Source organism: Homo sapiens, chromosome 1 (assembly GCF_000001405.40).
Source record: "Homo sapiens chromosome 1, GRCh38.p14 Primary Assembly".
In the NCBI taxonomy this organism is placed as follows: Eukaryota; Metazoa; Chordata; class Mammalia; order Primates; family Hominidae; genus Homo; species Homo sapiens.
The window spans coordinates 167,407,704-167,429,305 of NC_000001.11; the positions used below are offsets into that span (position 1 = coordinate 167,407,704).

A 21,602-nucleotide genomic window follows, 5' to 3' on the forward strand; every position below is an offset into this window, starting at 1 on the left:
AGGAATAGAGGAATTTAGATCCTTACCTTACACCGTGCATAAAAATTAACTGAAATGGATCAAAGGCCTAAATATAAGAGCTGAAACTATAAAGTTGCTAGTAAATAAAGTAGGACAAAATCTTTGTGACCTTGGGTTAAGCACAGAGTTCATATACACAGCACCAAGAGAACGATCCATAAAAGAAAAAAAAATTAGTAAATTCAGCTTCATCAAAAGTAAAATCTTTTGTGCTTCAAAAGCCACAGACTGAGAGAAAACATTTGCAGATCACATATCCAATAAAGAAATTGTGTCTAGAATGTATAAACAACTCTTACAACTCAATAGTAAGAATATAAACAACTCAGATTTTTAAATGGACAAATGTTAGTAGACATTTTACCAAGGAAGATATAGGAGTGACTAGTAAGCACATGGAGAGATATGTGACATTAGCATTACTCATTAGGGAAGTGCAGATTAAAACTGTAATGAGATACTACTTTGTACTCACTAGAATGGCTATAATCAAAAAGACCCAAGATGATAAATGTTGGGAAGGATGTGGAGAAACTGGAACTTTCATGCATTGCTTGTAGGAATGTAGAATGATACAGCTTCGGAAAACATCTTGGCAGTTCTTTTAAACATAAATTTACCGTCCTACCCAGCAATTTCCCCAAGAGAAATGAAGACATTTCTACACAAAAACTTCAATGTGAATGTTTATATAGCAGCCTTATTTATAATATCCAAGAACTGGAAACAAACCAGTGCTCATCAACTGGTGAATGAATAAACAAAATGTGTTATATCTACACAGTGGAATATTATTCAGCCATAAAAATTAATGAGGTGTTGATTCGTGCTACAATGTGGATGAACCTTGAAAACAGAATGTTAAGTAAAAGAAGCCAGATGCAAGAGACTACATATTGTATGATTCCATTTGTGTGAAATGTCCACAAAAATCTAGAGACAAAAAGCAGATAACTAGGTAGGAGTGTGACATGATTACAAACAGGCACAAGGGATCTTTTTTGGGAGTGGAAATGTCATAATCTGGATTGTGATGATGGTTGTATAACTGTAAGTTGATTAAAAGTCATCAAATTTTAAAGCTGGATGAATTTTCATGTGCTTACTAGTCACTCCTATATCTTCCTTGTTAAAATGTCTACTAACATTTGTCCATTTAAAAATCTAAGTTGTTTATATTCTTACTATTGAGTTGTAAGAATTGTTTATACATTCTGACACAATTCCAGTTCCTTTATTGGATATGTGATCTGCAAATGTTTTCTCTCAGTCTGTGGCTTTTGAAGCGCAAAAGATTTTACTTTTGATGAAGTTGAGTTCACTGATTTTTCTTTTCTTTTATGGATCATTCTCTTGGTGCTGTGTCTGTGAACTCTTTGCTTAACCCAGGGTCACAAAGATTTTGTCCTACTTTATTTACTAGAAGCTTTATAGTTTCAGCTCTTATATTTAGGCCTTTGATCTGTTTTAGTTAATTTTTATGCACAGTGTAAGGTAAAGATCTAAATTCCTCTTTCTGCATATGGATATCCAGTTTATAAGTTGTATCTCAATAAAAGCTGTTTGAGAAAAGACAAGACAGGGCGGGAAGCACAGGGAAGTGCCAGGTACTATATACACACCTTGACTATAGCTTCCTACTGCCCCTGTGAGGTGGTTGGTGGTATCTTATTTTGCTGTTGAGGACATTGAGGCTCAGCAACAATAAGTTCACTAGTCAAAGTTACCCAAGTAATTAAATTGCCAAGTTGCCAAGAATTTACAGTCATGAAATACATATATTGATGAAAACATGACTCACTGACTGGGATAATTAATTTGAAGATAATTTTAAGTTGTTATACCATAATGCTTATTTATATAACATTTATATTGGAGACGCCTAGAACAATTTTGAATGCTTCTGGAGTCATCATCTTCTGGCCTAGGTTAAATTCACTGATAAAATTTGACTGGGATTTTCTTTGTAAACTTAAGGGATTTAAGAAAACAGTTGGTGAATGATTTGAAGGTGGCTGGAGAGTAAAGAAATAACTATTTTAAGCCTTTTGAGCTCAAGATATTAGGACTTATAAAAATAGGCAATTCAATTTCAGAACTTTGAAAGGGAAGTAGTACCCATAGGTAAAATCAGGTTAGATAAGGTGAGAAATTGGTCAAAAAAAGATTGAAAGTACATTGAAATTGCTTAGCATGGAAGAGAAATAAAAGATGTTCACCTTACTATGTGACAGGGGGCATGTCTTAAGAGAAGATTAAAGCGAAAAAGGGTATATGAATCTGCCTAACACAGGACCCTACACAGCATCCAGTGTTCAGTGGTTGATTGTTCTGAGAGATTTAGAACCAAAGAAGTAATGAACGAAAATAGGATTCATAGTATCTACAAAGATGTAATGATATTTAGGGGCAGTGGCAATAAAAATAAATCACTTATATTTTTCAGAAGGGTAGACAGAGGAAGAAAGCCTTCCTTTTTATTTAACAATAAGAACATTATGTTTACCTCATTCATTTGGCAGCCACTTTTGCACAGCTTTATAGGAGGTGAAGAAAGTAGTCAGTGCTGAAATAAATGATGTCTGAGTCTCTCCCAACCCTGTGACATGTGATAAAAACTGAAGAGTGGAAGTGAGAGTTCAATTCTAGATGTTCTTAGTACAGACCAGAAGAAGGTTTTAAAACAGATTTTTGGAAGGACAAAATTGCCTGAATTTGTAACAAGATTGTTATGAAAGAAGAGCATGTTCTGAAGCTTGGTAAAAGATTTCATCACCAAAAAATGTTATTATTATTATTATTATTATTTTTAACGGAGTCTTACTTCGTCACCCAGACTGGAGTGTAATGGCGTCATCTCGGCTCACTGCAACCTCCACCTCTTGGGCTCAAGCAGTTCTCCTGCCTCAGCCTCCTGAGTAGCTGGGATTACAGGCGCCCACCACCATGCCTGGCTAATTTTTGTATTTTTAATAGAGACGGGGTTTCACCACATTGGCCAGGCTGGTTTCGAGCTCCTGACCTCAAATGATCCACTCACCTCAGCCTCCCAAAGTGCTGGGATCACAAGCGTGAGCCACCACACCTGGCCTTGTCTTACCATTTTCAGTGGGGCTACTAGAAATTTTTAAATTACATATGTCTTGTATTTCTGTTAGACAACACTGATCTCAAACATTAAATAATCCCAGCAAATGTGTTTTAGTGTTTAGTAATGATATATTTAATGTCAGTTAGTCATTTATATCCAAATGTTCATTCTCCTTAAACCAAAAGCATATTCAGGCACTTTTTTCTAAGACCTCACAAATAATTTCTTTTTTTTTTTTTTCTTGAGATGGAGTCTTGCTCTGTCGCCAGGCTGGAGTGCAGTGGCGCAATCTTGGCTCACTGCAACCTCCGCCTCCCAGGTTCAAGCGATTCTCCTGCCTTAGCCTCCCGAGTAGCTGGAACTACAGGCGCGTGCCACCACGCCCAGCTAATTTTTGTATTTTTATTAGAGGCAGGGTTTCACCATGTTGGCCAGGATGGTCTCAATCTCTTGACCTCTTGATCTGCCCACCTCAGCCTCCCAAAGTGCTGAGATTACAGGTGTGAGCCACCATACCCGGCCTACAAATAATAATTTCTTAGATCTTAATTTTTATGCTTTTATGAGATTCATAGTATCATTGTATGTTGTTTTTTTTTTTACCACAATGGACTTTTTGAGAGCTAATTTTTATTACAGAATAGTTGTTTGAATGTAGAGAAGGCATGTAGTCATTTTTATACTATGTTGTTGTTGATACTGAATTCTTAGAAAAGCATATAACTTTCTGTTTTTCTTCTCCTTGTTTTGATTTTTCTGAGGAGACCCCTAAGGAGATTTCTGAATGAAAAGAGCTTTACAGAAGTTTTTCTTCTTTTGCTTTCTTTTTCTTCCCCAGAGCAGTTGTATTCCATAATTAGAGCTTCTATGATTCTTTTGTTTCTTGAATAGGAAACAGGCAATGGAAAACTTCTCTGTTTCTTTCATTGCTCATATCTCTTAAAGTAGGGTTCCTAGCTGTGATCCTAAAATGTTTGGTTTTGTAGTTAATTTCCATAAAAGCACTAAACTAGGTTATTAAAGGACAGCTTTACTAGGTGGTAGGTTAATTATTCCATTGATTATAGAGTTTGGCTGAGTAAAGCCACCATTCTTCCAAAACCATTTACAAAAGGTCATCTTCTAATCTGTTTGTCTTTTCAGGCACTTCAGACACCACCTCCAACAACACAGCAACCGTGATTTCCACAGCGCCTCCAGCTTCCTCAGCAGTCACGTCCCCCTCTCTGAGTCCCTCCCCTTCTGCCTCAGCCTCCACCTCCGAGGCATCCAGTGCCAGTGAGACCAGCACAACACAGACCACCTCCACTCCTTTGTCCTCCCCTCTTGGGACCAGCCAGGTGATGGTGACAGCATCAGGTTTGCAAACAGCAGCAGCTGCTGCCCTTCAAGGAGCTGCACAGTTGCCAGCAAATGCCAGTCTTGCTGCCATGGCAGCTGCTGCAGGACTAAACCCAAGCCTGATGGCACCCTCACAGTTTGCGGCTGGGTAAGGCGCTTTCTCATCTCATTCACGTCTGAGGTGGAGGTCATCCCTGGAATTACTCACAGGGGAGACTTTACATCACTGACTTAGATGGGGAAAAAAATGTCTTTAAAGCAGTAATCTCTTTGAAGTGGGCTGTTTTGTGATCATACAAGGACTTTGATTATAGTTGAGTTTATGTTTCTTAACACCCTGGGAAGGGCAGTAGTCATACCTTTGTTTCCAGATGAAGACCCAAAATACCAGGTCACTAATTACCTTAGTGACGGGGCCAGGAAGAAAGCCTAGAATTCTTGACTCTTATTTTCCCCATTAAACTCTCTCAACTGCCTACTTCCTAATTCTCAAGCATAGATAAGAGATGTAATAGGAGTCTCAATTTTATACTGTTATTGTCACACATTATAAGAATTATCTTGTAAATATATCTTTTTCTCTAGAATGTTTCTTTCATTTTGGAAAGAAAGAGAAATAAGTCTTTCAAAGAAGGGTCAAAATGACTATAAAAGTTTTACATTTTGTGCTGATCATAACCTCGTTTGTATGAGTAAGCATCCAGGAAAGCAGTAACTGAGAAGCACAAACCATAGAAGAGTAAAGAAAAATAAATATTTCCACCTATTTCCCCAGCTGGATTTTCGTTTTGTAAGTTCCTTTTGGTGTGTTGTCAAAATGAGACCTGCGTCTGCATGGTAATAAAGTGACTCCTCTTTTGGACTTGCAGAGGTGCCTTACTCAGTCTGAATCCAGGGACCCTGAGCGGTGCTCTCAGCCCAGCTCTAATGAGCAACAGTACACTGGCAACTATTCAAGGTCAGTAGAAGCCTTTTTCTTAATTTGGTGGCATGCACGTGTGTGTGAGTGTGTGTGTGTGTGTGTGTGTGTGTGCTTGAGACAGAGATAGAGGAAGTCTGCTTTGCTAGAGGTAAAAGTGATGGGAAAGAGTCAAATGCTGACTAACTTGTTCTTGAGAACTAAGAAAATGTCCTCGTAAAAAAGCTTTGTAAGAAAAGTATAGGTGTTAGTATGTGAGTAAAAGCAGGAAATATACTTAGTTTGGTATATGGTAAAAAACCAGAACTTTCATGCTAATATTGATCTTATGTGAGTAGACTTGAAGCCAGATTTTTTTCCCCTGATAAGTTTATCCCAAGTATTAATCTAAAACCCGTCTCTAGGCAAACTTGACCAAGTAAGACTCTCCAGTTCCCAGCTGCACTCCTGAGAAAGCTGTGCATGGGAAAGTCCTGTAATGAACAAACATTGGAACACATCAGGTGGACCTCAGGAGTGCTTTTAATTCTCATTAAGTTCTGCTCTTTTTATATCGCCGTTAGTGTAGAACATATATTCTCTTGGATTATAATGTCTCTTTTCCAAGCTCAGCTGGGTTCCTTTTGCCTTTTAGCATGTTACCCAGGGCAATATTCATTCCATATACTGAAGGGTTCCACTTGTTTAGTACCTAAGCTTTCTGTCTAAAAATGTTTACTGTTATGTGATTCAGGGAGACAATTTGAGAGACATCACTAATTAATTAGAATTTTTTTCTTAAAATAGTTTTGCTAAGAGGCTGAGGCAGGAGGATCACTTGAGGCCATGAGTTCAAGACTGCAGTGTGCTATGATCATGCCTGTGAATAACCATTGCACCCCAGCGTGGGTAACACAGTAAGACCCTGTTTCTAAAAAAAAAAAAAAAAAATTAAAGTGTTTTGTGCATAAATGAGAATTCTCAGGGCCAAAAATAACTATTAGCCAACCTAAATTAAGATTAATATTTCACAGGTAATATCTCTAACAGTGTACTAGAGAATGTTAATTACAGACAAAACCAAACCATGGCCTAGATTACCTTACATTATATTGACTTTCTGATTGACTAAATCATACCTGAATTGGTTAGCTCTAAAGCTTTTGTTATATAATAATTTTTTTTTGCAATAGAATTTGTGATAAATCACTTTTTCTTCTGCTTTATTGAATGTTTCTGTGCTGTGTTGATACTACAAAGGCAAAATGTCTTCCCTAGGGCATGATTGACACTCTGAAAAGATACTAAGTTTGGAATCTCAGAAAAACTTCAAGCTGCACTGTCTCACTGTTCTGTACTATTTGTATGAGCAAGGCCAAAGTCAGAGGCATTCCCTTCAGCTATATTTTATGTAAGAAATCAAATGTGTAATGCCGTTAGAAAATCCCTCAAATCTACATGTAGGAGTGAGGTTATATGGCTAGAGAGATTTAGGAATGTTGCCAGACAACAGGTTGAGATACTAAATGAGAGTCTCGATTATTTTAAATAAAATGTTGATGATGCCTTCTTTGGGGAAGCAACAGCATCATAGAAAATTTCTCACCCATTAAAGCACATCCTAGACTTAGATCACCCACCTACATCATTATGTCTAATTTCCTGCTACAATAGATTCATCATTCTCCTTTGCACAAGTCATAGAAATCAAGTATTTAGCCTCAGGAAGTGAGAAATTAATTATACCTTTTAACTTTATTTGGTGATACATAATTTATTTTAGAACTAAAGCCTTTTTGCAAGATGATTTTCATCTTGTATATCATAATATAAAGCAGTGGTCCCCAACCTTTTTGGCACCAGGGACTGGTTTTCTGGAAGACAGTTTTTCCATAGCCACATTGTGGTGGCGTGGTTTCTGGATGACACTGTTTCCACCTCAGATCGTGCTCTATGAGAATCTAATGCCGCCACTGATCTAACAGGAGGCAGGCCTCAGGCTGTAATGCCCACCACTCACCTCCTGTTGTTAATGCTTTAATCACTTCAGCTAGTTTGTCCTTTGAACAGAGGTAGTTTAAAATCAGCAGTCTTCATTAAAGACAAAATTATTGGATTTATCAAATATGTCTAGGTAAATGAAATAAACTGGTGATTTCAAGACACGAACATGACTCTAATTCATTAGACAGTTATTAGCTGTCTTCTACCCCTGCTTGTGCCCATTAAATTAGACATTTCAGTCTTTTAGGCTCTTCAAAATTAAAAATAAACTACAATTGGTATCAATATAGCACTGTGTTTGAGGAAAAAAATTCAGTGAAGGGCTATACTTTTTCCTGGTGGGTTGTAGGAAAATGATAGACTTTTGATGTGTTATTTGGCTTCTCCAGGATGATGTTAATGTTTTCATTCCTGCCTGTTTTGGGGGGTTTTTGTCTGTAGCTCTTGCTTCTGGTGGCTCTCTTCCAATAACATCACTTGATGCAACTGGGAACCTGGTATTTGCCAATGCGGGAGGAGCCCCCAACATCGTGACTGCCCCTCTGTTCCTGAACCCTCAGAACCTCTCTCTGCTCACCAGCAACCCTGTTAGCTTGGTCTCTGCCGCCGCAGCATCTGCAGGGAACTCTGCACCTGTAGCCAGCCTTCACGCCACCTCCACCTCTGCTGAGTCCATCCAGAACTCTCTCTTCACAGTGGCCTCTGCCAGCGGGGCTGCGTCCACCACCACCACCGCCTCCAAGGCACAGTGAGCTGGGCAGAGCTGGGCTGCCAGAAGCCTTTTTCACTCTGCAGTGTGATTGGACTGCCAGCCAGGTTAATAAACTGAAAAATGTGATTGGCTTCCTCTCGCCGTGTTGTGAGGGCAAAGGAGAGAAGGGAGAAAAAAAAAAAAAAACCACACACACCCATACACACATACCAGAAAAAGAAAGAAAGGATGGAGACGGAACATTTGCCTAATTTTGTAATAAAACACTGTCTTTTCAGGATTGCTTCATGGATTGGAGAACTTTCTAACCAAAAATTAAAAAAAAAAAAAAAAAAAGAAACAAAAAAATCAAAAACAAACAAAAATAAGTGAAAGGACTACTTATCATTTCCAGCAGTCATGATGACAAGTTAAGGTGGGTTACCAATTCCAATATAGGAAGGGGATTTCTTGTTTGTCTAAATTTCTTTTTTTCTTAAAAAAAAAAAATCATTTTTATGGGTCTGTTGTACAGGCCATTAAGTCATAACAAGGTGTTTATAATCGTATCAATTGTGTTGGGGGTTCCTTTCTTAACTGGTACAATTTAGGCAGGCCTGTATTACTGTATTATTATTGTTGTTGTTGTTATTGTTTTATATATATAGTTTGGACATGTTTATTATCTCTTGCTCCTGGATCCTATTTCAGTGAGCTCCCACACTGTGGGGAGGGAGGGTTTTGGGGTAAGGGGAGACTTCTGTTCTTAACTGTGGGGAATGTTCTTGCTGGTTTCCTTATCCTTGATGACTCTTACAGAGGTGCTAGAAAATTATTTTCTTTTGCCACTTATGCAAGAGGCTTGGTGCAGAAGCTGAAGGCAGTGTGTGCAAACACTCCCATTCCACACACGCCCCTTCCCCTCCCCACATCAGGTGGTGCCTTTGGAGCACTTTTGTGTAGGAAGGAATTCCTGCTGAACTGTAGCTCTCACTCACCCCCAAATCATTGAATGACCCTGAGGCCCAGTTCCTGTGGTGCAACAGTGCTGCTTTCTGCTACTTTCAATGGGAACAGCTGTACATGTTGCAGGGCAGGATTTGGTTCCCAAGAGCAAAGACTACTGCAGACACCTGACTTGGTGGTTCTCCTGATTTCTTATCTCCTGAAAAATGCTCCTGCTGTTGGTGTGTTTGTTTGTTTGTTCCATTTTGTGGAAGTTTTTCATCCAAACTTTAACTAACTTGGCAAAGAAAAAAAACTGACTTACTGAAATTGGGAAACTTTTCCCTTCTTTTATTTTCTAAAGGAATTCTACTAGACTATTTTCCATTGATAATATATACAAAAGAGGTGTGATGAGAAGGGTATAAGGTTACCACCTTTTCCTCTAGAGAGCCACAGACTTCCTTTCCACTGGATGGTTTATAAATTCCTCTAACCCTGAGATTCTTCTTGGTTCTCTGACTAAAGGAGGCACTTATTAGCCGGGCTGGGATCTGTAGAACCTTTGAAGAAGGACTTTGAGCAGGAACTTTGCACACACCTTAAGTGTCTCCTTGGTTTGTTCATGATGCTCCTGCTAGGTAGGTCTAAATGGCAATACACATCTCTTTATTCAATGTAGAAAGTAATTAGCTCTGTAATTATTTTCAGGGTGTTTGTAGACTATATAAATGAGCCCATTGAAAAGGAAGAGTTTGTGAAAGTGGATGAAGAGGAATAAGGGTAACTTGGAGATTAAATTCCTTTTTTTGTCAGTGTACTGTTGTTATGCCATCTGTACCAAAAAATTTTCCAAAAGACTGGATCACTGCAGTGCAGCTCATCTAAGTTCCCCTTCTTATTGGAGTTAAAGGTTCCCATTTGGTGGCTGTGGGTGCTTGCTTAAATCTCTGGTGGTCCCAAGACTGCACTTTTTCTCCCTTTCGAGCTGGGGATGTAGAGAGAACTTACAGGTGATTTTTATTCTGATTGCTTTTGTTTGTGTCCACAAGGGAGCTTGGATTCTGTGTACTTGTCTCTTTCCCATTGTCCAGTAAGGCAGTAAATACAGACACAATGTGTACTTTTGTGTGTGATTCAAGTGGGAGACAGTCTGTTAAAAGGTCAGAAACATTTTAGTCCCCTTTAAAATATTTCTTTTAGTTTATTTCTATCGTGTTTTATTTCACAGATATTTAATTACCACCCCTAAATTTCCTCCTCTTACCCTTCACCTTCCCTAAAATCCTTCCAAAATCAGTGAACTGCAAGCAGGGAAACTAACAAATGTCCATTCACCCTTTTTGTGTGGTGTGTTTTTTTATGTTTTGTTTTGTTTTTTAACTAAGCTTGAACCAAAGTCAATTTTTAGCAAGCTGCTGTACTAATGGACTAGTTGATAACGTGCAGTTCAGACACATCGAGGAGATAGATGCTACTGACAATTTCTTTTTCATTTGTCTTTATTAATTTTATATGAAAGTTGCTGCTTGTTTTTAATCTTTTATGTTGGTAAATTGTGATATCCTCTGGGCAGACATTAACTTGATGTTTAACTAGTTTATTAGGTTGGTGTGTAAATAGAATGACAATGTCAATTACTAATTTCTCTCCTCTCCATTCACTTTTTCTCTGTTGTAGTTAAATTTAATCTTCTATCCTGACTTGACATCTCTACCTTTAGTCTGTGGAAATGATTTTAGGGCTATCAGTAATGCTGTAGCTGCCCATAATAATGAGTCCCTCCCTTGGGAGTGGTGAAACTTAGAAGGAAGGATTCAGGGAGGGAAATGCTGGTACCCAGTATACTGGATTAGAAGTTATAGCATTAATTTCTCAAAATTGCTACCAAAGGAAGTGTGGAGTCCCAAGGGACTCAAGCTCAGTGAGGTAAGACAAAGGGCAAGGAAAGGCTGTTTGGGTGGTTTTTTTTTCCCCACATATGGTTTAGAAAATGATCCCTTTCCCAAACAAAACTCACCAACAGACTTTAATATTAGAAAAGATACTAAGCTTTAAATGTCAATACAGTGGTCTTTTATTCCCTGCCCTGTCTATATTTTCTACTCAATTTGGGATAAGGGGATTTTATGTGAAGCACTTGATGAGGGTAGACCAGCATAAAAAATCTGTTTAAAAGAAGAAATAATCTTTAGGAAAAGATAAATCTTTAGATAAAAATAAATTTTTTTCTCTTTTTTTACTTATTTAAAAATAAGTTGTGAAATGAAAGGTACATTTACACATGTACACACGAAACACTAATATAGCTTTTTGGTGGTTGTTTAGTTTAAAATCAACTCCCTATCCATCATCCCTAGATATTCTACTTATCGTATTGCTTCATGAACACCTTAGTCATTTTTTACTTTACGTATATATTTTTTTATCATCTCAAGAAATGCATTTTGAATTGAATGAACTATCTTCTAAGCTAAGATACTCAAATTTAACTTTTAGCCACCTTATATGGGAGAGCCTGGAAACTAAAGGGGACCAGGGACCATTTGACCAAAAGAGGTGTTTGGTGGAGTTTCTGCATTTCAAAGAAGAAAGGCCAGATAGGTCATCACAATTCATTGTATTATTCTTTTTTTTTCCCCTTAATGTTTATGCAAATTTTATTTTATATTTCTGAATTTGGTTAGCACATACTAAGCCAAAGACTATTCTAAATGCATTTATAGTGAATACTATGTATGCCCATGGTAATGGGTCCTCCCTAAGGAGTGGTGAATGTAATTGTGTGAATCCTGCTTATCACAAGTGGTGCAATTTGGTCATAAACTTTATTTATACCCTGTATACATCTGAATAACAGAGCAGAAAGACCTAAAAAAGGGCTTCTCACAGGAACAATATTACTATGTTGTTCTAAGAAAAAATAAGTTGAGTGCTGTATTAGTTTAAGTGTTTCTAAAGTTCTATAGGCAGCATTTTAGAATTAAGAATTGTGTATATCCATTAACTGATATAATTCACATGTCCTTTTATTTGTTATCAGAAAGATCAATACTATCCCAATTTATTCAACTTGTTACCCAAGAAATGGAACCAAAGGAATCCAACTTTCATTTTGTGTAGAATCATACCTACTTATACTTAATGCTAGCACTGTAAGAAATAAGTCTTTTTTGTTTAAAAAAGGGAAGATAAGATTAAAGATTCTTAGTGAGATCATCTTGCCAATTTGTTGTACATCTCTCATTCATTGTTGGGGGAAAAAAAAGCACAACTATACCTCTTTAATGTTATTTTCTTCCATTATCCCTCATTTATTTGGAAAGATAAGGGAAACCTTGTCTGTATTATCCAGAAGCACAGATATTTGCTTGACACAATATTTAAATTCAGCCCAATCTTTAACATTAAAAAATTTTCTTTTTAACTTGCTGGAAAAGTTGGATACATTGGCAAATATAGGGAATTCATGTCTTTTTTTTTTTTTTTTTTCTGGTCTTGCTCTGTTGCCTAGGCTAGAGTGCAACGGCATGATCTCGGCTCACTGCAACCTCTGCCTCCCGGGTTCAAGCAATTCTCCTGCTTCAGCCTCCCAAGTAGCTGGGATTACAGGCGCCCACCACCGCACCCGGCTAATTTTTGTATTTTTAGTAGGGACGGGATTTCTCCGTGTTGGCCAGGCTTTTTGAACTCCTGACCTTAGGTGATCTGCCTGCCTTGGCCTCCCAAAGTGCTGGGATTACAGGTATGAGCCACTGTGCCCATCCTCATGTCAATTTTTAAAGTGATAAATCCTGATATTATACATTGCAATTAGTGTAGAATAAACGCTTGGCTTATAGAACTCTCTGTTCTTAGTCTAAAGCTGTTCCCAAACCAGGTCATCCTCACGAAACATTCTTGACCAAGAAAAAAGATAAGGTCATTGAGATAGGAAGACAGAGGAAAAGCCTCTTGCTGTTGTTTCTTCCCAAGAAAGGAGAAGCCCTGCCAGGGAGAAGTCAGTAGTATTGCTGACTCACTGTATCACTGAGTGTAGGGTGTGGTAGCAAGGAGGAGGCAGGGGATTCACGCTGACAGGTGGCTCTGGCCTGGCTCTTGGGGGGCCTTCTGAAGACCAGTCTGCAGTTTGAGGAAGGGCCCCAACAATTCATTTGGAGAGCTTGGCCAAATACTTTCTCATTAAATCAGCACCTAAACTTGATGAACTTAAAGTTTGTTTATTAGAGTTGAAAACATTAAAAGATGACTGATACTAATGGGAGAAAAATACTAAAGACCCAAAATTTAAAATTTTCCAAAATGGACAAGAATTGATGGGTTAATTTGCTCATAACTGATATGAGTTTGCTTTTATGTGTGTGTGGAAAGCATTTAATGTGTGATGCTGTTCATAGTCCTGGCTATTTGATGTCATTTTCAGTTTTACAACATTTTGAGGATGACACTTTATAAAATGGTAAATCTTTCTCAGCGTTTACAAACTTGGCTTTTGAGAAGGGAAAAATCCTCTTTGCTATTTCTGTAAGAAGAATAACTGAGATCAGCTATTATATAGGTTTGCATGGATGGTGTCCACAATACAAATGTAAACTTGGACAGGAATAGGATAAATAAATTGCTTTCATCATAAAGGCCAATCATCCATTTCTTAGTCCAAGGAGATTAAATATAAATAGGACACCCCTGAGATTTCCAGTAAGGTATTTGAAAGGATTCCACTGGGAGGGCAGGGAATATATTTTTTCTCAGAGCATCCAGTTTGTACCCAGTTTTCTATATGGTTTGTGAACTGTAGCTTTTAAAAAAAAATTTTGTAGTTTTCTTCTAACCTTATTCATTAAGTAGTTCCTTGTTTTGGCCCTTCTACTCTTGGCCTTAGCTAAAAGCAGTAAATGTGAGTGAATTTTATGTTGATTATGTCACCTGGATCTCCTTTCCTTCCCTTCTTTTTCTCATTGAATGGTGGTACCTTAATTTGGGTAACAGCTAGCTTCTGGCACCTTCATAAAATACCTCAGAATAGCTTAGCATTGTTGCAAAACTGGTTTTAAACTAAAAACCAAATAAATAAGTGAAAAAATTTTATAAATAGTGGAAATAATTCTAGCTGTAGCATTTAGTTGAACTAATGTTTATTATGATCGATAAACAAGATTGATGCTGTATGTATTTGGGATCCTGTTTATAGGTTACAATTTATAGGGTTAGGGAGGGTTGGGTGGGGGAAGAGGAGATGTTGATTATGTTAGAAGGAAAACATTGCTCGTGTGTGTGTTTGTTTTTTCTTATATCTGTCTTGCCAAAGGAAACTTGATTTTCCCTGTGATTGGCTTTGGCCTCTGTGGTCTGGTCTGCAGCAGTGTGTGGTGGCATGCAGGTAACATATGGGGTGTCCAGTAGGTTCAGGGACCCTGAGGGTGCATTTACATCCCTTCCTATGGTTGCCCATGCCCCCCAGACCCTGCCAACCTCTCCTAATGATTCATTACCTCTGTACATAGCAAAAGCATAGGCAAAGGATGAATGCGTGAATGCCTGGATGTGCAGTTGAGAAACAGAGGCAGACATAGACATGCACCAATTAATTTGGAGCCAAGAGGTGAGTGATTGATGTATCTTAAATCTAGGAAAGTTAAAGTGAAACAGGTTCTTTGTGTTGCCCTCTGTCAAGTTACTGAATGTTGTGCTAATAACACAACACTTTAAAACCTTACTTACTTTTCTCATACCAAGGCTAGTTCTTTCTAGACCAAAAACACAAACAGGATAAAAAGCAAACCAAGAAGTTGAAAGCTAACCTGCCCACCTCACCCCTGTGATACAAAGTGTGAACCTTAAGGATTAGTTGGTGGGATTGAGGAGAGAATTATTCTTGGTGGGAACATGAATGAGAAATGATGCTGGCTTAGGAAAAATCACAAGCCCTTTCTGCCCATACTCTGGGACAAACTTTCTTGGCTCCCTGAGTTCGGATATAGACTGTATCTCTAGAAAGGCTATTTTTTTAAATAAATGATCCCACAGAACTTAAGTGGGATTTGGTTTAGATACCAAAGACACTGCTAATGTCATTGCTTATCCTTAAGTTTTCAAAACAGGCAGAGGGAATAGGAGCAAAAAGCCAAAATTTGGAAAAGCTTTACTTTATCTCTTTCCTTCCCTTTTCCCCTTTTCCCAGTCCCCTGCTTTTTGAAGGAAGTCTTCTTGGTTATCCTGGCTTTGGAAAAGAGATTTATTTTGTTTTGCTCTGCTGGCTCTTTAAAGATGGATAGTTGCTCAATCTAGCAGTGATGTTCTTGGAATTGCTGAGAAATTTGGGGAGGGCAAAAGATAGGGGTAGAATTTTTTCATTATTTCCCTTTATCTAATACTTTTAAATAGAACCAACACAGCCTATATGAGTTCAGACAATATTTAGATGTGGTATCTCCATCTGTCTCCTGTAAAAGATAAGAATTTTCAAGAACAGGATTACGTGGAAAACCAAAAGATCTTCCCTTACTCTCCTATAAATGTTTTGTTCCAAATGTTTTTATATATGGGCTCTAGGGAGTCAGGTAGTTCATTGTTTCGGTGTACTATTGATAGGACACAGAAAGGGAGAGAGGGTAAAGAAATGTATCACTCTCTGAATATTGCATCAAAAATGATTAGGTTGCAGAACTTCATGAAAGCTTTACTAATAATCTTATTGTTCTGACATTATGTAAAGGTGGTATTAATATTGTATGACTTGTCAAAGTGCTAGATAGGTTTATAAGTAGGTAATAGGGATGTTGAAGATTAGAGCACTTGAAACAGAAGTTCTGGGAAAACAAGGTGTGTGTAATGGAACACCACTTTGAGCACAGAAACAAAGGTCCCTTGGACCTGGTAGGGAAGATGTGATTTATGATTGTTTCTGTGTCCCTGTATCTGCCCACCCTGCACAGGGCTCCACCACCCAGGGCCACCTTCTGGTTTAAACCCAGGACACTGTCAAAAAGTTAAGACCCCAAAACTAATTTACTGTAAAAAACATTGAGGACTGCTGCAAAGTTTTCCCTTGTTTTCTTTGTGTACTTGTTCATCATTGTATAAGTTAGCCACAGCTTCACAAGAGCAGCTTAAGGCTTCTTTCATAAATTGGCAGTGGCATTGAGTTCTCAAACATTATATCCCAAAGTCTGCAGGCAGACAGCTGGATACAGCGCTGTGTATAAATGAGACGTCCAAACACTTGAGTTTCTTAAGATTGGGATCTCTTTCAAATGAAAAAGGACAGAGCCAAGTAGAGAAAAGACTTTGTGCTCCCACCCAGCCTTAATGAGTCTCATGGTCTAAAAGTATAGGAAGAAATGAAATGCACTTTCAGAAGCTAAAATGACAGTGTCTGCTACAAAAGGCTGTAGTTGTAGGCAGTCGGGGATGCCATGTCCTTGGTTCCATTCCTGCGTGAGTCTGCAGAAGGCACACACTTTGTAAGAGTAGAGTGGACTAGTGCCAGCCTGAATAGGTTTAAAACTGCAAACAGTTGGAGAACATGGAACAGGTTGGTGCAGGAAGCCTAAGATTTTGCAATCATATTATAACATTGGCTTTTGACAACATAAATGTTGTATCTTCCCTAAGGTCAGGTCGGGGAAAGAAAGACTTCCAGCTTCTTACCTCTGCGTGCATGGGCACGTGTGCATTGCTCAGTCCGCAGGAGGTCTCACTCCGCAGGAAACGCTCTCCTCCCGCATAAGTCTGTACTTCCATCCCCTCATCTGTGGTAGTAGTGAAGGCTAGGTGAGTAAGCGTGGGCTGTTCTACCCACCAGAAGTCCAGGAGCTGTTGTATACCTCATTTCTAACTCGTGACCGAGTGACTTGCTTTAACTTTCTCGAAATCCTACAGAGTTGCCAAGTCTGCCCTCCCTCCTCAGTCATGTTAAACTCTGGCCTATAGCATCATGGGACCTGTAGCCTAGGGTGGGACCCCCTAAAGCCTCTGAATGTCGCTGCTTAAAAGCTACTGCAAACTGAGGGCAAATTGCAATCTTCTATTCCTTTTTGTTGCAAGGGGTCTTCACAGGTCTCTTAACATCTGCTTTCCCTGCCACCCTGCCTTTAGGGGCTGGCCAGCTATCCACACCCCTAACCCACCCTGTGTTTCTGACAGCTGGCCACACGTCAACTTCTGTACTTGCCTTTTCCTTGGTGGGGTAGAGGCCAACCCCTTCTCCTCTGAGGCCTCAGGGTTCTGTTTCTTTTCAGGACTTTGGGTAGAAGGGAAGACACCAAAGGCTCCTTTAAGCTGACTGCTGCATACACATTTCACTTTTTTTCCTTTGACATGACCAAAAATATCCAAATATTTAAGTTTATTATTATTATTATTATTATTTGACAATCTTATATCCAATGGGCTCTCTAGAAGCTGCATCCCCAGCCCTTTCACCTTTTCTTTGAATGTAGTTCCCAACCTTCAATTCCCACCCCTAATGCTGACAAAAAGCTTAGCCAGGTCATGATACTGCTGCTATAAGCCAGGGGAGGGTGGTTTCTTTGTTTTGTTTTGTTTTGTTTTGTTTTTCAAATTTCCAGCCAAAACCAAAGATTTCTTAATGATTGTATAAACTCAAAACAAACAAAAGAACCAAAGAAAAGGGAAGTCTTCAGCATCAGTCCAGTCTGTGGTGTCCTGGCACTTAGAAGAGTGAGGCCAGGGAAGGTGGGGCGGGGGGACCCTCTGACTGGATCAGAAAGGGCAGGCAAGCTGCTTACCACCTTCCAGGGTCCAGCACAGGTGCATGCCCCTAGCTTTGGCCCTCACAAACTTGTGAGCATGCCCTGAAACAAATTGGCATTTCAGATTTTCCAAAACAAAAGTCAAAAAACCCCATCACCACCATCATCCACCCTACACCAACCAGGGTCACTATGGGGACTTAGCACAGGGCCTAGGGAGGGTGGGAGCTGCTGCTGGACTGGCCCGAGGACTCCACAGAGTGGGGGACGTTGAAGACACTGGCGCACGATTGGCTGCTCTGCTGGGTGCTTTAACCTCTGGGGCTGGGCGAATGCACGCCACGGTGCCCTTCTGAGCCTTTTTTTCTTTTCCTGTACTGGAACTGCTTGGAAGTGGCTGTCCTGTTTGTGAGAAAACATGCAGAAAGATTATCAAGCTTTTCATTTCTCTTTATTGTAGTTTTCTTTCCTTTTTGCAGCACCACTGTGCAACTATGCATTGTACTTCACAACCTTTTGTGCTAGGTAGATGCCTGTGACTTTTTAACTTGGGGGGTGGGGGGATTGCAAATGAAGGAACTTTTTACATGGATCTTTTTAATCTCAGTTGGTTGGGGGAGGGGGGTACTTGGTTCTTGGGTCACACAAGCTCTATCCCAAAGCAAAATCCAAATGTTAATAATATTAGCCTGATGCAGATACCAAAGATAATTTCTTTCCTGCAGAACCTTAGACTCGTGTATTAAGTACGATTACCCAGCACTTGCATTAGTCTAACCTCAGTAATTCCAAAGCTTAGATGTATATTTTGGTATATTTCTGGGATATTAAAAAAAAAATGTCGTTTAACTTCTTGTTTGTTTCAGTGTAATGCTCTTAAAGTCATAGCATGAAAATAATTGAACTGTCCTATTCTTAGTAGTTTGAAATAATAGTATTTTTGTATGTTTTGGGTGTGTCTATGTATGTATTAACATAACAGTTTTCACTGCCTAGGTGTTCATAATAAAAAAGAAAATGAAAAAAGTTCTGAGTGTACATAATATTCAATAATAATCTCCCACCAGGTGTCAATTTAGATTGCATATTCCTCATTACTGTTCCCAACTGGGATTTTGTTTTCTTTTAAAGAGACAGTGATCGTGTTTTTCTAAAGATGTTTTCTTTCTCTCTTTCAATATCTTAACTCACTTTTTTTTTCTTCCTTTTTTGTCTTAATTATTAATTCAGGGGTGTTTGTCCACTGTTGTCAAAGGAGGGGCACAAGGGGAATTGGCCCCCGGCCTCCTAGAACTTTTTGTTTTATGTACTTTAAAATGTGAGTTTGAGTTCTTCTTTGTGGAAACTTAAGATGTGGTGTAAATGATTCTTTCCAAAATTGTCCAGCAGCTTGAATGAGGCAGTGACAATTCTGAGGTGGTTTATTGGGAGTCCTTCTACATTTCTCTTAGATAACTCTGCACTCTGGGTGGCTATTGTGTAGCCTTACTGCCCCAGAGTGCCTGTTAGCCAAATATTTCCCCTCTGATAGGAATATTTTCTAAGAATCAGCTGATAACTTGCGTGCTGGACCTTGTTATCTGTGCCCCTGGGAGACACACGTTTTCTTGGTTTTGAAAACCTGAAACACAGGCAACTTTACATTTTGGGGAATTAGCTGATGCCTCCTGAAGCCTGAGGAGGTGGCGGGGAATATGAGCGGTGCTGTCTCTCTCAAAAGTGCCCTTTAGATGATTCCCCCTCCTAGGGCTGCCTGCAGGGGCTGTAGGCTTGGGAAAGATTGTGTAGGTGACAGTGAATCAGAATGAAGTGGTAGATTTTGTGTAGATGCATTTGTCTGCTGTAATTTTTTATATATATATTAAACTTACTGTAACTGTACAGTTCATTTCTGTTGTAAAACATCATTAAACCATCTTCCAAGTGTTTTCACATTGTTGGAGTTTCTTTGAAATTGCTGTGTTGGTATTCTGGATGCTTCACATACAGATTCTCAGACTTCGCATAATTCAGCTTCCAAATTGTTTTTTCCAAGTGCTCTCAGGAACCCCAGAATCACCATAAGCACCCTGGTTCCTGCCCCACTCCACCCTTCCTCCTGCACTCCAGGAGGAGCTATGGCCACTGCATTTCTCCCTCCCAGACCCTCAGTGTGGTTTCGTGGGACCCTGAGTAGCAGTAGTCTCCCTCAGGCCCAAGTACTTTGTGTGATCAAACACGCAGGCCCATGATTGATCCTGCAAGGGAGCTCTTCAAAGCTCCATCTCACTGTGTATTTGACTGCAGAACTGGGACCGAACTCAACTTTTTCCAAATGTATTGTTTAAACTGCACTGCCCCTCTAGCATTTCTTGCCAAGTCCTGAACATTCACTGGGTGGGGGCCGGGTGGGGGGTCCTCCGAAGGAAGGTAACCCTGAACTTGGCATCTGGTCCTCCTCCTGTTCGAGGCTGCACAACTTAGCTTCTTCAGACTTATAAATACCACTTAGCATTTAGTGTCTTACTACAATTCATTCATTTCATGAAAAGTAAAGTTTGAATTTTAAAATGAATTCCCCACAGAGAGAAGGCTTCAGCTTACTGAAGAACCTGGGGAAGTTGTCTATCACGTGCTGGCCATCTGGCAGGCATTCTTGAATTAGATGATGTGGAGAGCCGTTGTCGCAAGATGTGCTCGCTCTCCTGGAAAGGGACCAAAATGGGAAGGCAAATGGTGGGTCCCTTTCTCCCTGCTCCTTTATCATAGAATTTATATTTTTCCATTCCATTCCTTAGATATATGGCTTATGTCTCAGTTTGTAGTTATTTTCTTAAAATAATGTCAAGTTTTTAACAGAAATCCTGTTTTTGAGATAGTGTCGTGCTCACAGACTTAGCAAGCAAAACTCGTTTGTCATATCCTAAGGAATGAGGATAAACAACTGATGAGATTCTGTTACCCTGTAGTCCTTTGTGAAAAAGTTGTTAAATTCTAACCCATTTCCAGGTTTGTATACAAAGCTGAATTACCTATGGCAGGATGTGAATAATATATGCCCTTACTCTTTTGTTTTTGGAGGGACTTACATCTCTCCAAAGACCCAGGTTGAAGTTAACAGGAAATCCGGTGTTAGGACTCAGTCATGGGTTCACAAAAGTAGTTGTTGATCAACAACTGAAATGTCCAGCACCAAGCAACCAAAACACATCACAAGTTATTCATGGACAGTTTGAGGCCTGTGGCTAAACAGTTGGCCAAATGACAAGGCTTTAAATCACCCCGGAAGTTGTCCTCTTAGCCTAAGTAGGTCATCTGCCATTTTTTCTCTGCCAAGCCAGGCTTTGCAGTTTTGAGTATTTCTCTGCTTATAGGAACATTTTAAACTAGAAACCTTGGATCTTATTCCAAGAATGACCTCAAATTATACTCTAAGAAGAAAAGCGATCAGAAATATTCATATCTTATCTCTGAGTTTAGTGACATTTGAATAAACGTTTGAAAAATATTGAAAGCTTCCATCTTTATATATAATGTGTTTCCTCAATACAAGTAAAATTCCATGTTTCCTTGATTCTAAGCATATCTTCACATTTTAACCCATGAAACAGATCTACATCTTACAATGGATATTTAGTGTTTTTGCCCTTGAAATAAGTTGATACATCAGTAACCAACAGTGTCTTAGGATGGAGGGAGTGCAGTTGTGCTGTGGAGAAGGCATTGCCAGACCTCAGGAAAGACAGGAACCCTGGCAGTTCCAGGGCTAGCCGCTCTCCCCTCGGATTCAGGGCTTTGCTCTCTCAGAAACTGGTTTCTCAGCCCTGCTTCTGTGAGCATATCTCAGTTCTCCCCCAGCTTGCTGTCTGTGTGGTTACCTTGCACGTAGCCTGATGTGGCCCACACCTCAGTTTAGCT

The 21,602-nt window shown here is 39.3% G+C and overlaps 1 protein-coding gene across 12 annotated transcripts in view, besides 3 other annotated features; it reads left to right on the forward strand.

Annotated features, from left to right (window-relative positions):
* Nucleotides 1-19,642, forward strand: part of POU2F1 (POU class 2 homeobox 1) — a 206,461-nt gene extending 186,819 nt beyond the window's left edge. For 8 of the 12 annotated variants that reach the window (NR_037163.2, XM_011509653.2, NM_002697.4 and 5 more), the window contains 3 exons: nt 4,256-4,601; nt 5,323-5,411; nt 7,797-19,637. Coding sequence is in view for 11 of the 12 variants with exons in the window: in XM_011509653.2 (XP_011507955.1) it covers nt 4,256-4,601; nt 5,323-5,411; nt 7,797-8,107 (746 nt within the window). In the remaining variant the exon portion in view is untranslated. Of the gene's footprint in view, nt 1-4,255; nt 4,602-5,322; nt 5,412-6,158 lie in introns of all 12 variants that reach the window. The other 4 variants (NM_001365848.1, NM_001365849.1, XM_011509655.2 and 1 more) reach the window with 2 other exon arrangements.
* Nucleotides 5,275-5,475: a silencer, noted in NCBI's record as "peak441 fragment used in MPRA reporter construct". NCBI's record gives its function as "represses an SCP1 promoter by STARR-seq MPRAs in K562 erythroleukemia cells {active_cell/tissue: K562}" and the evidence as "EXISTENCE:reporter gene assay evidence [ECO:0000049][PMID:32103011]".
* Nucleotides 16,546-17,516: an enhancer, noted in NCBI's record as "H3K27ac-H3K4me1 hESC enhancer chr1:167393486-167394456 (GRCh37/hg19 assembly coordinates)". NCBI's record gives its function as "activates a minimal SCP1, AML or CMV promoter by ChIP-STARR-seq in primed H9 embryonic stem cells {active_cell/tissue: H9 hESC(primed)}" and the evidence as "EXISTENCE:reporter gene assay evidence [ECO:0000049][PMID:30033119]".
* Nucleotides 17,517-18,487: an enhancer, noted in NCBI's record as "H3K27ac-H3K4me1 hESC enhancer chr1:167394457-167395427 (GRCh37/hg19 assembly coordinates)". NCBI's record gives its function as "activates a minimal SCP1, AML or CMV promoter by ChIP-STARR-seq in primed H9 embryonic stem cells {active_cell/tissue: H9 hESC(primed)}" and the evidence as "EXISTENCE:reporter gene assay evidence [ECO:0000049][PMID:30033119]".